We start from the raw sequence: 17,129 nt of genomic DNA on the forward strand, positions 1-17,129 counted from the left end.
TATGTGGAGAAATACTCCACATATTATGTGTGGTATGCCACCTCCCATTTCTTTCCAGCTCTGTGTTTAGTGATGACACGTTGGCAGCTGAAATTGACCATGGTAGGAGCATTTACACCACAGAAATTGGCAAATGCTACAAGCAGGACTTGACAGGTTGTTTTGATTATTAACTAGACTTTAAAAAATTATTGAGAACATTTTAATAATGCAGGTTAAACAATAATTTCGGCAGCCTTTACATTATAAATAGCATAAAACATTTAAGGAAATATTCTTTGGATATTCAAAAACTATCATCCGGTTTAACAAAGAAGTCACTCACATTATTGATGAATGAGTAAACCTTTGACTTCACTGTTTCACTTTGGTTTTACTTATTGATATAAAGAAAAATATCAACCAATGTTCATGTTGAAACTGCACTTATTTGTTAATGACATGAGCTGTTTCTTTGCTGAAATGAATAGTCACCAAGCGTTTATTTGTTGTCTGATTTTGTGACACTGTTGTTGGTGATAGAATTACAAAAACTGATACTGAATTTTGCAAGAAATAGCAAGTGAAACAAATTACAGGTGTATGGAATTTGAAAACAGAGTATTACATATTTTATTATCACTTGTCAATTATTTACTAAACATTCCTTAAATCACTAATTTTATAATACACTTATGAATATGTATATATGCACACATTGTTTTTTCTCCCAGAGATCCTGACGTTAAACATTTACTAGATAATGGAAGACAATGGATGCCTTATGACATGAATCTATAAATCCCCCACAATTTTCTGTTGAGTCCTATTTTTAGATCCTTGTTATTCGAAGGACACAAGCAGAACTTTTCAAACAAAATAAAACACACACACACAAACCTAAGAAACACGATCTCCACCAACTTAATATTCTGAAGTATGTGAAAACGAAGTGTTTTATGTGAGAACCATAGGAATGTTTTTCAAATATAATAAAAATGGATGGTGTTGATTAACTTACTTTGTAAAGACTTTCCTTAGTTTATTCTCTGAGAAACGACTATGTAGCAAACTTTGTCCTGGGCTCTGCACCAATATAAGGAGGACTTGGTTCCTGTTTCCCAGGTTGAGCTTAAATGTTTGCTGTAATATGGATCATCCTACTTTTAAGAGTTTTTTTTTTCTTTCCAAATAAATAGCTAAAGAGCCATTTTCAGTTTCTTAAGAGAACTGACGTGAATTTGTGAAGACCGTTGATCATCTTAATTTGTCTTCCATAGATAGTAATAAACAAACAATATCGAACACCTGTTATGTGCTACATTCTATACCAGGCACATTCCTCAAAACTAATCTTTTGAAAATCTCTGTGAGCTCAATTATAATATCTTCATTTTACACAAAAATGAGACATTATACTGGTAATAAATGATGAAGATGAGATTTGAGTTCAGGTTTTTCTGACTCAAAAATTCTCTGTCTTTTCTGAAAAAATGTTTTACCCCAAGAGCCCTTGAAAAAGAAAACAACCAAAAATTATATTCCTTTAAATTACTGGACACACACTGAGCCTGGGGAAATGCTTTCATCAAGTGTGAGAATAAAACTAAGTGACAGCTGGATGGCCAGATCCATTTTCTGCAATAGATAGCAGAGTCTGAGAAAACAGCTGCCCAGAAATGAGGAAATGGAACAGACAGTATGTTTTGGTATCTTTTTACATTCAGAAGAAAGTAGAGAACTATATTCTGATGTCATTAGTCATCTCTGATACAACCAAATTTTTGACCTGCTGATACTACAGGATTTAATTGTGAAACTCACGGTGTGGCCTAAGATAATTCCAACTTCCTCACTCTCCTCTTGTCCCATACAAAATATCAATGTACTAATTAGTACTTACCAGTACTAATTCAAAATTTTATATCTAAATTTTGTAGAGTGAGATAGTTATATAAACCAAGTAGTAGTATTAGAAAGAAAATAAAGCAAGCTGAAGTAGGATCTAAAAGAAGAAAGAGAATACATTATTCGTATATATTGGTCTAAATGTTGCCCTAGTTTGTTTGTTTGTTTGTTTTGGTTTGTTTGTTTTTTTAAAGAAACAAGCACCAGGATATGAGATGTCACTGGGAATACCATTTCCCTTCAGCTGCTTTATATTTCATTGTCTCTTGGTTTAGAATGTGTTTATATACACATAAATATATTCTCCACCAAATATACAATTTGGAACTAATGGCTTTGCTGATTGAAAAGACTGAAACTTGTGTCACTTCACTAAAGCATTTCCTAAAAACAAATGCCATAAAGTTAAATGTATATATGGCCAATGTATGCTAGAAAATAAAGGGACATGTAGGATTTTAAATCAATTGATTTTTCAGCCATCAGTTTGAGTAACATAAATTGCAGACTATTAGGAAACTTTGGAGAAATGCATAGGCTCACAGTAAAAGGATCTGAGTGGGGAAAAAATTACCTTCTAGGGAAAGCCAAAAAGACTGTAGTCACAAGAGCAGAATGAACATACTGAGACATCGCCGGGGAGGTGGGGGCAGAGCAAGGGTCTCTGGTAAACAGGAGCCACTGTGAGAAGGATCCAAGGTAAAAGGTTCGAGAAATCACAGTGAGTATTTTTTTTTAGGTTAAATGTTAGCAAAATGCTTCTGACAGGCGTGTCAAACACTGTATCCGTGGACCTACAGAGGCTGTTTGTGTTCCAAGAGTAGTGCTTCTTCATTCTGAGGAAGAATAGGGATTTGATCACAGAATTTCTGAACTCAGAGTTATGCCACGTCTTTTGGCTTTTTGATTGGTGAGAAGTAAGGCTTCTGTGAATAACTAGCAGATAACAGATAACATCCATTTTTGTTGCTGGAATGAAATAAGACCCAACACTGGCAAATTTACATTCATGATAACGGCCTAGAGCCACTTGATTTCCTAGTGGAGATAAAGAGGTAATGTTTTATTTGGGGGAAGTGGGGTTATATTTGTCAGTATATAGTAGTAAATAACAAAACCAAACACATCGCGTAGCGATCCATGAGCAGTAATGATAATATCTTGAATTTGTACAGTAATTTGTAAAGCACTAGTTAATCAGAGAGAACTTTAAATCATTAGCTTCATTTTCCAGAGGCCCTGGGCCAGGGACGTCTGACAGATCTGTTCAACGTCATAGAATTAACTCATGGGTTGAGAGGCTGGGCCTAGAATCTGGGCATACTGCTTCCACCCAGTGTGTTCCTTGGCTCGTTGAGTGACCAAAGCACCGCAGTCACCCAGTCTACCTCTAGATTATAGACTCATCAAACAATTGAAGCTGCAGAGCAATTCATTTTTAAATGACTTCTAATATGAAGCACTACACAATTATCAGTATGCCCTTACCACATAGAACTGGGACCTATCTTGTTTTTCCACAGTAGAAAGCATTCAGAATCAAGACAGTGCAAGCCACCTTCTCCAGTTCCTTAGCAATTGTTCTTTAACTGATTTTTTTGCTGCAACTTTACAACTAAAGAATTACTGTTTTATAAATGAATAAAACAAGGTGCAAGAGAATGGTTCTGATATGCACAACTGGTTGATTTGATGATTCTGAATGATGTGTTTATTAATTGATTCAAATAATTGTTTTTGACATTTTGAGGATTAAATTTCTGGCTAGTTTGATGATACTAATTACTTATTTTAAAACTCTTAAACATCCTACATATATATAACTCTACAGCCAAGTCAGCTTTTGGTTAGGTAAATTATAGAGTGAAACTGTATAGAGTGAAAATTTTTTTCACTTTGGGAGGCCGAGGTGGGCAGATCACCTGAGGTCAGGAGTTCAAAAGCAGCCTGGCCAACATGGTGAAACCCCATCTCTACTAAAAATACAAAATTTAGCTGGGCATGGTGGTGGGTGCCTGTAATCCCAGCTACTTGGGAGGCTGAGGCACGAGAATTGCTTGAACCTGAGAGGCAGAGGTTGCAGTGAGTCAAGATCGCGCCACTGCACTCCAGCCTGGACAACAGAGCAAGACTCCATCTCAAAAAAAAAAAAGTTTATTTTAATTGCAGATAAATAGAAAGTCATTTATATCAGTCTTTGAAATGCATGTCCTAATTTTTATTTCTTAGAGGTGTGGCTTTCTGATTATTTTGGGAGTAGGTTATAATGAATTGACTTTATCACACACACACACACACACACACATAATAGAAAATAAGGATAAATACTAAAATGGGCATTTTTCTGTATAATTAACAATATTGATATAGTCAGTTAAACCAAATGAAATTGCCGTTTTTGTAGGTAAAAAAATTGAATATTGTCTATTTCTCATGCTTTATTCTGCTTAATTTTGTTTACGTGTTTATCAAGCTTCTTGTATGGGATTCCATTGTATTTTGAAACCAAGCTCTCTTCCAGAAGAAAAAGAAAATGGAAAAAAAAATTACCAATATTCAAATATTTTGATTGTTCATTATTACAGTTTTATAGGTTGAGGAATAGAAAGAAAAAGCAGAAGACAAATAAAATACCTCATGTCCAAACCTGTGTGTGGACACTAACTCCACAGCACAGACATGTCATCACTCAACTCCACTTCTTCTGAGAATAGCGACACAGTGTGCATGACAATGCCTGCCCTGTATATGCACAGTACTCTTTGCACGCTTCTACTTACATAAGGAATATTTTTCTTTAAAAAATACTTTCCTTAAAAACACATATATTCTTAAACTAATACATTCTCTTTAGAAATTTTAGATGACTCATAAAAGCTGAAGGAATAAAATAAAATTGTTGAATCTTACTACTCAGAAGAAATCAGAGTTAATATTTTAGTGTAAATTTTTTATCTATGAAGTAAACAATTTTAAAAGCTAAATATAGAGTCTCATTTAGAAAATATGTATTATACCTTGTGTAATTTTGTATTCTTTACACTTCACATGATATTGTTTCCCAAGTCATTAAATATTCTTCTAAGTAACCAGATTAGATCAGCAATAGTTCACTTAAAACAGCGAACAAGCTGCATTAAAAACCAGCCAGAGCCTTACCAAAGAGCTGATGCTATGAATACCAATCATAGCTTAGTTGCTGTTCCATATGTTAATTTAATTTGACAGAGTAAGAGTCTTTGAAGTCCTAATTCTCTTTTGCATCCAATAAACCAGTTTTTATAGTGCGTGAACTTTTAGACATCAGCCTGCAGCTAAACTCATGTCGGGAAGTTGCCATGAGGTCACACATAACAATGGCTTGGAGGGGCGATCCTTTGGAAGTCTTGTGGGAGAGGTGAGGGGACTGTCAGGGGTCACTTGGGGGGTCAGTGCCTCCGATGATAGCATCTTATGGGCATACAGATTTGTTGCCATTTTATGTGAGCTCTTGAAGGTTGATTTCTACAGAAATGGGTCCACAGTAGCCCAGCAACATTCATTAATAAGTGTGTAGGTACATCTTTGTGTTTATTCATGGGCTCTGTAGCTTTAGAAGGAAAAAGCTAAGCACAAGTGTCTTGCTAGTATGTTGTTTCACTTCCCATACTTCAGCAAGAAGGTGACTCTCTAGTCTTCCCTATCATCAGCATTTAGAATCCGGGTGGTGAGTTAGTTCAACTCATAGAATACTCTTGGGGATATTTTTGTTTGATGCTGATTAGGGCTGGTGGTACCCACTAGAAGGGTAGAGGGGGAAAGAAACAGGGCATTAGAGAAGAAGATCATAAAGAAAAAGGTTAAAAATAACAAATTATGCTAAACATTAAGTTCTGTAGAGTAAGGATTTTAAGTTTTTTTATTATTCTTTGTTTAGATTGTACGTTCTTTGAGGGCAGAAACCATGCTTATAAGATATTACAAGTCTAGAAGCTGATGTTATTGTCTAATAGTTATTCTGGAGGTTCAACGTCAAATATAGTGTCCTAATTGCTACAAACATTAAAGATCAAGACCCTGTGGAAATGGGTTTCTTTTCCAATTACTGATCACCTCCAGTGTGCCAGGACCTGTGCAAGGCTAGCATTTGACTCCAAAGGTGTATGGGCATTCCCTGTACCTGAAAACGAGTGGGAGCCAAGCATGTGAACTGTTAACTTCAATTAAAAGGGGTTGCTGGGTGCGGTGGCTCACACCTGTAATCCCAGCACTTTGGGAGGCCGAGGCAGGCGGATCACGAGGTCAGGAGTTCGAGACCAGCCTGGCCAACATGGTGAAAACCCATCTCTACTAAAAACAAACAAACAAAAAATACAAAAATGAGCCAGGTGTGGTGATGCATGCCTGTAATCCCAGCTACTCAGGAAGCTGAGGCAGGAGAATAGCTTGAACCAGGGAGGCAGAGGTTGCAGCGAACCAAGATCATGCCACTACACTCCAGCCTGGACAACAGAGTGAGAGATTCCGTCTCAAAAAAAAAAAAAAAAAAAAGGTGGGGGGTAAAGTGCTCTGATAGTCATATGCTGAGAGTTCTGGGCCTCTCAGCGTTTGTGCAAAGTTAGGGGATCACTCAACAATCAATTAACTAGCATAAAAGAGCAATTCAGAGAGGAGTCTATGCCCCTCTTTGGAGGGACCTAGGAGGCCTATTCTTTGGGGAGTTCTTCATCAATGACAGCGATTTGAGAATAGGGAACCGAAAGATAGGGTGGCCACTTACAAGGCACACAAGCCAACGTTTAGGGAAATTGGTGATTAACAGGAAATTATTGGACAAGTGCTTAATTTTTCAAGTAAGGATGTTTCTAGGTAACAATCCTGTTGTGGCCGCATGGTTCTGGGAAGTGGTAGACATGGGATTAAGCAGCTGCACTGGATAGTAATGATGTAATTGGGTTTCCAACATAATTTCCAGTCCTTCTACTGCTTCTGGGTGGTTTCAACGACTGTGTGACCTAAGTTTCATTTTGGCAGTCCATTTCAGCTGTACCATTGCTTTTCAACCATTACAAAGGTAGCTTGACTCTCTTTTTACACTTAATTACTCAAATCTTTGTCCTTTAAATAAAATTGAGATATCCGTAGAGTCTGCCAATTAAGCATTTAGAGGAAACCACACACTCTTTGTGGAGAAAAGAAGGCCAAATTAGACAATCAAGTGTACCAAGAATTTGCCTAAATTTGGTATAATTTTGTTGAAGATTAATTTATTTTCATGGTGAGTTATGGTATTGCATGAAAAGCACACTTTACTTTACTTGTACCTGACTGTCAAACAGCCATTACATGCGAAGGGCAGCCTGTATACAGGCTGGGTTTCCCCTTCCTGCTTGGGAACAGGTACGGGGAACTGTTGGCATGAGTTGTTCTCCTTAGCTCGGCATATCTCACACACATATTGTAGTTCTATTCTCCAGTCTGTCTGTTCTACTCAGTGTGATTTCTTACTCATACATTCCAACATCTCTAGATTTTTCCTAATCTCTTCAAAGTCTCATTCAGTTGTCTTCCAGATATTTCCCTTCACATCCTTTCTTTTTTTTCCTTTGCCTTTCTCTTTGTTATTACCCTTTCTACATTTTCAAAATGAGTTTCATATGTCTCCAGTTGTTGCTGGGAAGTAGAATTAGATGGTCCTCTCTTCGTTCATCCACAGCCATTTTAGTGCACAGTGTTAAAATTATTTGTTTATGCATCTATTTCTTCCTTGAAGGAACTTTCATCCTTAATGTCTTCCTTGGCATCTAATGGGGACTTAATAGATGCCTATGTTTTTAACCATTGTAATTTTAGTAAGAACGTTTATTCTGCTTTCCTGATAGTCAATTCACAAACAGACTTTTGCAACCCAACTCCCATATAGACTGAGGAGTTTCTGCAATGTGGTCAACTACAGCAAAAGGCTTTTTTTGTTACAAAACTCTAATCTTCATCTACTTTGGCCCGACCTGAATTCCACTATAATTACCTTTACAACATATATCCTACCATCATCTTAAAAAGGCTTACTTCTGAACACATCCGCTGGCAGAAGATTTGTTTTGCTTTCTTTTCTAGGAAATTGTAGCTTAGCAAACTATGAGACTGTCTGACTTTAATTTTTCTTACTTTCTAACTGTTGATCTAATTTTTTTAAAGTAAATAGATTACCTTTAATTTGCTTATTATGCTCAATAATCACACATTAGCAATGTAATAATTTTAATAACAGAAAGTACATCTAAATCTCTACTGTTTGTATGTAAGTCCCATACCTGGGAGCCACAATACTTTCAAAAGTGCACATCAAAGTAATTGTTTTGTCTGGCGCCAGCACAAATTTCTGCTGGGAACTGCCCCATTTAATATAAATTATATTACCTGTGGAATTTAAAAGGATATAAGGTGTAGTGTGCCCTGCAGGCAGGAAATTTAAACTATGGATTGCCTTCTTTTTTTTTTAATCTCTGATTTATTCCTGTAATGTGGAATATTTAGCATCCCTAATTTCCATTTAATCTTTTTACAGGCATATTTTGAATTTTTCAGTCATAGGGAAGACAAAGTTAGAAATGCTATTATTCTCTCAGGCTAACTTGAGAATGAAAAATATCTAAAGCTAAGGGTGAAGTGGGAAAGAGATGTCATTATCTGAAGGAGTCTATTTAGAAACCAACCAACCAACAAAGAAAAAAAAGGGATGATGAAGAAAAACAGGGAACTTTGACCTAATTTAACCAAAAACCATCAAGCCTCAAACCTGATGTCTTTGCCTCTTTTTTGCCTATATAGATGTGAATGTAGGAGTAGCACATCCACGGGCATGAATATGGAGATATAACCTCATCTCTGTAAATCCATTGAACATAGTTTTATACCCTGCTTAGAGGACCAAGATGTTACATTTTAAGCCTGTAGGAGTAAACACATGCAAACCCAGCTGTTCAGGTGGAGACCTCTGGCTTCCACATTCACACCCTCGGTGACCTATTTGGCTCACGTAGTCCTCTCTTAGGAGATGGCTGCATGCACATCGTCTTGGATGTTGAATGTACAGAATACTTTCACTAGGACCAGTAAAAAGGGCAAATAAAGCTAACAGCACAAAAGAGGATATATTGAAAAGAGGTAGAGAGGAAGGAAGGAGAGAGAGCATACACTAGAGAAGAAAACTAGAGGAGCTAAAGACCAAAGCAATGAAGACGAGGCTCCTGTCCACCTCCCCTCTTTGTGTTCCAGGTGGTTCTTACACTCATTTTTACTCAGCCACAGCTGAAAACATGCTCCTTTCTCTGCCCTTAGTCAGGGGAAGAGGCCTCTGCTCAGTCTCTTAATTCAGTCATTGCCTAACCATTCTCATGAAACAGGTCCCCATCACCAAGAGCAGATACCTTCTCCAGGTCTTTTTCTTTTTTGTTCAATAATCCAAGTATTCTCTCAAAGACTAATATTGCAGTCATGAACAATAGTCACTGCTGACCGAGGTACTGCATTAAATCTTTTATATCTCACTTAAAAATCTTTACACCGTACTCACTCCTCACACCTACCACATAGATTCTGTTGTCCCAATGTTATAGATTATTGAGTAAGATGTTCTGTATCTTTAGCCATGAATATGAACGCATGTAGTTGATAATTCTACATAAGATTTTGCTGTTTTTCCTTTGCTCCTGCATGCATTTCTCTCTGTTCGGTGTCTGTGGTCCCTGAGTTTTCATGACATCTTCTGGTAGGAACTTGGGGTACTAGGTCCTCAGACACTTTTTACAGTTTTCTCCTTTTTTTCTTTTTAAAACATCTTATTAGTTCTTGGAGTACTGTCCAACTGAAACTGAAATGCACATATCCATAGTTTTCTTTTGGTTTCTTATATGTGTCCTTTTGACTTATAAAAAAAAGGGGGCTAAATACCCTTTGTTCCAAGCGTTGACTGAATTCAAAGGCGCAAATTCAACTCAAGTTTTTGAACTGTATAGACCAGTTAGTAGTAGCAATTAGTAGTCACTGAATGCCAGTGGTTAAGAGAGGTGGTGTTTAGCTTCCTTCCACCCCATTCTCTATTCACCTTTATCCTTTCAGCACTAGAGCCCCCACAGATTCTGCAGCAATGGGCAAGATCTTTGAGAGGAACAATATTAAGAAATAAGCCTTCAGATATGCAGAGGACATTTTCTAAGCTTAAAAGCTGATATCGAACAATAGAACTATTTATTTCAAAACGACACTCCATGTATCCAACTCAATTGGTATACTTTGATGACTTACATTAGCATTTAAAGTACAAGCAAATTTTAGAAGATGCCTCTAGACTCAAGTGTTGGAGGTAGGGAGCAGCTGGTCTTTGTTGTTAGAAAAACAGATATTCAAAGTTTGGGATAACAGATGAACCATCTCTACCACTTGACTTTAAAGTTAGTTTTTAGATAAGAAGATAGCTTAATAATGGGCTGGTTGTTGAGAGGATCAGCCTTCTAAAAACCTTAATATGCTTTCAGTCTTCCCTGGAAACAGGTGATAGGGTAATTAGCATCCACATCCTCTACTCAACAGAGCAGCTTCTCTGCTGGCACATTGCTTGGCAGGACTCCAGGGAAAGCTGTGTGATGACAGCAAGATTAAGATCCAGGAAGCAAAGCCGGGTCATATGCTCTAAGTTGTCCATTCCTTCTATTCTCTTAGCATGTTCGATTCCACAAACACGGCTTATTCCAAAAGCCAATCCTCCTAATGAGCATTCGGTCATTAGAATTTTCATCAATACCAAACGGAATTACATTTGGGGCCCCTTTTGGTCTTTCTTGTCATACCTGAGATGATGAGATCCTTTATTCTCTAAGTGCCCCTTATGCACACACAGAACCAGAGCATCCGTGTAGAAATAAGAACTTACCATGGTAAATGATCAGTATTGTTGAATCTCCAAGATGTGGGGTTCACCACATTTAACTGTATGTTTATTAACAATTCCATTCTAAAAATTATGTTACAAGCATGGCCAAACAGAAATGAAACTATGATAGTGGCATCTCTATACTAAAAGTCTACTCTCTATGGATCTGGCCATATCTACACTTATAGATAATACGTTGTATGGAAGTTCTAGTGTCAGAGCTTCAGGCTGGTGATCCCTGATTTAGATACTGTATTAACTATATCTTTCCACTAGTCTTTCTGTTTATGTTCTCTTTACAATCCCCAAACACCCAATAGTTTGCAACCCTTACCATACTTCACAGAATGATTCTTCAGGTAAATGATAAATATTAAATTTTTAAATTTATGCATATTATTTTGGTAAGCTAATCAAATTTTTTATGTTAAAGTGAACTTGATATATTTTTATATTCTGTCATTTATTTCTCCATTAAGTGCACAGCTTTAAAAATTTTCAGTGCTGCAAAAATAGGCCAAAAAGTGTGACCTCATCTATTTTAAATTTAAATAAATGAATGAATATGCAAATGAAAGAAAGAATGTCCCCTGGGAGCACTCTTCATGGTGGGCCTCAGCAAAATAAAGAACAAAAGCTTCTAGACCTTGCTTCCTGCTCCTGCTCTGTCTAGAACCCTTCTGAAAATCATTTCCTCCAATCTGTAGAGTGTCAGGGGAGTCTTAGATACTTGGGTCCTTTGCATTGTCCTGTTCATGCTGAATTATCAGTTTTATTTAGCAGTTATAAGTGATTCACATTGAAGTTAAAGGAACAACCTGAGGAGGTATTGTTCACAGACAGCCAACACTCAGAATGTGATTGAAAGCATAGGTTTTGATTCTGGAAAGAATCCTGGATTTGGAATCTATTCCTGGATTTAACGTCATGCCATAGCTCCATCAGCTATTTACTGGATGAGTCCCTCTTCCTCTCTGGCCCACAGTTTTCACAAGTCTAAAATGTGGATTCTCATAGGATGATCATGCCAAATGGGGCATTTTAGTTTCTAAAATGAGAACGTTATTCATCTATATAAATATAAAGTTAAAATAGAAACTGTTTTAGGGTTGACAAAAACTCTCAAAGCAGTCCTTTAGCACTTCTGTGCCCCTGCTCTGAGGCAGGACCACTCTTAAATTCTTCCATTCAGATAAAAAATCTCTATTGTTTGAAAACACCTTCAGAGGAGATGTGGTAGGAATTTGCTTCACAAGCACAGTTACACTAGACGTTATTAAAACAAAAAGGTTTTAATTAATTACTTATAATCATGAGTCTCTTGTTTTCTGTGTAGTTCTCCACACAACAGTTCTTCTGTTCCTCCATTCCTTCCACCATTTTGTGCTATTTTTTCCTTCTGCCATTTTGTACCATTCTGCGGCAGTTTGCCTCTCCTTCCTTTTCTCTGGTCAACTCCTTCAGTGGTCTTCCCCATTTTAAACAAACTTCACTTCTCCGCTTTTCTCCGGGGTCAGTCATCTTGACTTCTGCACAGGAAGAAGATCCCCCAGTCTTCCTCAGCCACTGAGTCCAATAAGTGCAATCCTTCTGGTAAGGAAACTTGCCTTCTTGTTGCAGTTGAAGCCCATTTTCTAATCTTATTTCTTCAGAGCCCATTTCAAAACAGCTGGTTACCATCCTTTAGGTTAGTCCTTCCTAGACAGTACTTCAAAAACATTATATCACTTTTCAGTCATTTTTATCAAGCATGAGTTATAGAACTTCCTTTATCCTTTTCTCATAAGGTGTATTATTCAGCCTTTTAATAAGCAGCAGGGTGTAATTGAAAGAATATGGACTGTGTAGTTAGACCTAGGTTTGAATCTGGGCCGTGTTACTCACTAGCTGTTTGACCCCACTCAGAGCTCATGACTTCTCTGAACGTAAGTTCCCTCATCTGTCAGGTGGGGTTCATGGGACCTGTCTCTCAGGGTCCCCATCACAGCTGATGTGTGTAGTGTTCCTGATGTGTCACCAGTGCTCTAAGAAGTGTTGGTTACCCTTGCTCTTCCCTTTCGTTATACTCTCCTCTACATCAGTTCACTATTTCCTGGCACTTATGGAGCCTAGGGTTGAACACAATGTTGAGAATTTGAAATAATTGTCTTTATTCATCCCCCTGCAACATGCTTTTTAAAAAATGTTTTGGAGAGGATGTGGAGAAACAGGAACACTTTTACACTGTTGGTGGGACTATAAACTAGTTCAACCATTGTGGAAGTCAGTGTGGCGATTCCTCAGGGATCTAGAACTAGAAATACCATTTGACCCAGCCATCCCATTACTGGCTATATACCCAAATGACTATGAATCATGCTGCTATAAAGACACATGCACACGTATGTTTATTGCGGCATTATTCACAATAGCAAAGACTTGGAACCAACCCAAATGTCCAACAATGTTAGACTGGATTAAGAAAATGTGGCACATATACACCATGGAATACTATGCAGCCATAAAAAATGATGAGTTCACGTCCTTTGTAGGGACAAGGATGAAATTGGAAATCATCATTCTCAGTAAACTATCGCAAGAACAAAAAACCAAACACCGCATATTCTCACTCATAGGTGGGAATTGAACAATGAGATCACATGGACACAGGAAGGGGAATATCACACTCTGGGGACTGTTGTGGGGTGGGGGGAGGGGGGAGGGATAGCATTGGGAGAGATACCTAATGCTAGATGACGAGTTAGTGGGTGCAGCGCACCAGCACGGCACATGTATACATATGTAACTAACCTGCACAATGTGCACATGTACCCTAAAACTTAAAGTATAATTAAAAAAAAATGTTTTGGTTGTTTGTTGTTGTTATTGTTGTTGTTTTTGAGACGGAGTCTTGTTTTTGTTGCTCAGGCTGGAGTGCAGTGGTACAATCTCGGCTCATTGCAACCTCCACCTCCCAGGTTCAAGCAATTCTCCTGCCTCAGGCTCCTGAGTAGTTGGGATTACAGGCACCCACCACCACACCCAGCTAATTTTTGTATTTTTAGTAGAGACAGGGTTTCACCATGTTGGCCAGGCTGGTCTCGAACTCCTGACCTCAGGTGAGCCACCCACCTTGGCCTCTCAAAGTGCTGGGAATACAGGCGTGAGCCATCGTGCCTGGTCTAAAAAATGTCTATTAGTGTTCCATCACTAGATCTCTTCTGAGGTATTCATGCCATATGCCCCATCCTGATGTCATATCCACAGGACAATCTACTACCAAGAACCAGCTCCAAGAAGAAAACATCTCTGGGAAACAGTACCAAAAGGAGTCACTGAATTGTCATTGGAGGAGTCCAGGATAGCTCTTCATGTTATTTTCACCTTGAGGAATTGTCCATTACATCTATGAGCCTTATGTGTGGCTTTCTCCGATATAGAAACCTATCAGGTGTCTTTTAGATCATTTCAAAACACTGGCTTATTCTTTCTTATGTTTCCAACTGAAGTCTGCATCCCAAGATGTAGTTTCACTGCTACCCCATATGGCACCCTTGTACGAATTTGAAAAAAGTACTCACTCTAGGCACATGCAGAGCCATGCCTGCGGGGACAGCTTAGAGAGTAGAGGGTGGGCTGAACTCCAGTTACTCTCGTACAGGGATCCACCTTTTTGCAGAAATCACAGTGTGGCTATGGTGTGGTTTGATTTCATAAAACAGATGCTTAAAAAGTATTCACTGTCTCTGTCTCTTCAGTGCCATGTAATATCACATGACTTTCCTTTCTCATTCCATTGGTATTTTCCTGTGTCTTTTATCCTCTGTGCAGTTTGTCAGTAACATTTCATTCCCAGCTTCAGATGGGCTGCCATGACTTCTGCCAGTTCCAGCTATTTCTTTGGATGCACCTTTGAATACCTACCTTGACTTACATTTTTTTGTTTTGTGGAGTTACTCTTTGGGTTTAAATTTTGGACATTTGGGTATTAACCCAAATAGATTTTGCTTAAAATGTCCACATTCTATTAACAGATTCTTAGTAATAGCAAATTGGCAAAATCAAGATAGTTAATTCATATTAACGTTGCTTCCCCCTCTTCTCTACCACGCCTCTAGAGATGACTTAACTGAGCATCCAAATGACCTAACCCAGGGTACTGGAGGGAAAGGGGGAATGGGTGACCATCAGTCTTAAATAATCTACACACTAATAACCTTCCTAGGAGGTGAGAGTCCAGTCGTTCTAAGAGGAGTACCGTGCTGTCATCCTTGCCAGAAAAGAAGATCCTTTTATACTAGGCCCACAACTTTGAACAAGTCCCCCACAGAACAGTAAGGGAGTGCAGTGGACCATTACATTTTCCAGGGCTCAACCAAATTGGTTCTGGTGATCAATGAAGCTGCAAGTCTGAGGCAGCTGGTTCCATGTTCAGTAACTGATAGGTATTCTTACATTCATCTCAAGGAGGTAGAAGAATACTTTAATATAAAAAAGTGTGTAAAAAGGGATGAAGATTAAGAAGTGGAAAACTTGAAGATAAGCCAGAGGCAAAATTTCCTGACAGCATGATGTACTGGACTGCAGATAGGTCTTTTGATGGATATGCTTGAAATTCCATTGTTACATTTATCTTGTCTGCATTTTTCTGCATTTATTTCTAATGTGTCTGCTAGGCCAGTACCTCTCTGGGAACATAATATAAAAACAACTATTAAGTAAATAGAAAAGCTTAAACAATACGCATATAACTCCAGCTTGAAGCATTTTTTAATGCTTTATAAATCACTAGAAAACACGTGACAGGAACTATTCCTGATCAGTCTTAGGATGTGCAGGATGCCCCAAGAAGCTTTTCCTGTTTACTACTTTTTTGAGTGTATGAATATATGTTTTTTGACTTTGAGATAGTTAATATCCAGAAGAGTTCTTTGGCTATGGAAATAGCCTTGAAGGCTTGGGTCTGGGAAAATAATAGAGAGAAAGAGTTACTAGGGCTTAGTAGAAGAATTGAGGGAAGGATGCAGGGAAAAGCGGACAATAAATAGAAAGAGGAAGCTGGTGAAGGTAGACTTTGGCAGCTGGGGCAGCGGCACTTGGGCCGCTTATGTGAGGTAGCCCGCAGAGGCACCTTTGGGTGGAGAGAGAATAAAATCTGGTTTTGACACGTTTGTTTTAGATGGCAATGAAATGTCTAGCCTATATATTTTGTAGACACTGAGAAATAAGGGACTGAAAAGAGGAAGAGGTGTCAGGGCTGAAGATGGAAATCTGGGGCTCATCTGAGTATAGGTGGTAATTGAATCCTTATGGCTGCACTAAGGGAATAAGTAGAGAAGGAAAAGATGGGCTAGGAGCCCCTGGCTGAACCCCAGGGGCACTAAGTGGTAATGCATGGAGGGAGGGGGAGAAGTTAAAAGAAGGAAGAAAAAGCAGACAGAAATATCTGAGGAGTCCCAGGGCCTAAGGTCCCTGCCACTGAGGCCGTGAGAATGTTGAGAAGGCAGCACAGATCCCTGGAACGGGATTGCCGCTAAGAAGTTAAGTAAGAAGCCATGGTGTTTGACAGCTTCCATAAAAGCAAATGACAAAAGCTAGGACTGCAGAGAGGTGAAACCAGGGCCTAATCTGGATCTGGTCTGGATTGTTTCCTCCATGCTCTCTAGCACAGAGCTTTATAAGACAGTGTTGGTTTAACGAATGAGGGAGGGAATGAGGGAATGACTGAATCAAGCAAGTAAGCAGATATAGAAACATGGGCGTTTTCATAAAGCAGAGTACTCAACAGTGCCTGTGAGCATCACTGACAGGCCAAACACATAAAACAGGCAGAAGGGAGAAAAGGAATTGAGAAAAAGAAGGACAAGGAAGAGACAGAAGGGGGAAGGAAAGAGCAGTAAGAACTGAAAAAGGCTGGAGTTTCCTGGAGTGTGCAGTTGTGGAGCCCTAGATCTGTGGGTTTGGCCCTTACTTTGCTCGTATCTCTAGTTGTTTCTTTGACATTCATCTTGTGTCTGTGATGAAACTTTAAGTTTCTTAGTAAAGACAAGAACTACTATTGTGTATCTCTTTAGTACCTAATACAATTCTACAAGCATTTACTTTATTCTTGATAACAGGTGGAGAGAAAGAAAGCAGGTTTTCAGTAATTTATAAAAGTGAAGAATTATCTAGAAATGTAGTCAGTGAAAACATCCAGTTTTGATAAGTCAAACTAAAACATCCATTCTTCACTCAGAGTAGGCTTTTAAACTTGGATTTTCTAAGTAATTTACTCAAAGCCCTCTCTCTCAAAGACCCTCTTGTGAAATGCCCTTGTGAAGTGCTTGTGAAATGGCCTTTTGAGTTAGCT

At 38.4% G+C, this 17,129-nt stretch overlaps 1 protein-coding gene across 4 annotated transcripts in view; it reads left to right on the plus strand.

Moving 5' to 3' along the window:
- HMGA2 (high mobility group AT-hook 2) overlaps nucleotides 1-17,129 on the plus strand; it is a 141,832-nt gene that overhangs the window by 76,555 nt on the left and 48,148 nt on the right. Inside the window, exon 4 of one of the 4 annotated variants that reach the window (NM_001300919.1) lies at nucleotides 13,706-14,513. The exons of 2 other annotated variants lie outside the window; for them this stretch is intronic. In NM_001300919.1, the coding sequence (NP_001287848.1) occupies nucleotides 13,706-13,900 (195 nt within the window). In that variant the 3' untranslated portion in view covers nucleotides 13,901-14,513. Of the gene's footprint in view, nucleotides 1-13,705; nucleotides 14,514-17,129 lie in introns of those variants that run through there. One more of the 4 variants, NM_003484.1, reaches the window with a different exon arrangement.

This window comes from Homo sapiens, chromosome 12, assembly GCF_000001405.40.
Source record: "Homo sapiens chromosome 12, GRCh38.p14 Primary Assembly".
Lineage (NCBI taxonomy): Eukaryota > Metazoa > Chordata > Mammalia > Primates > Hominidae > Homo > Homo sapiens.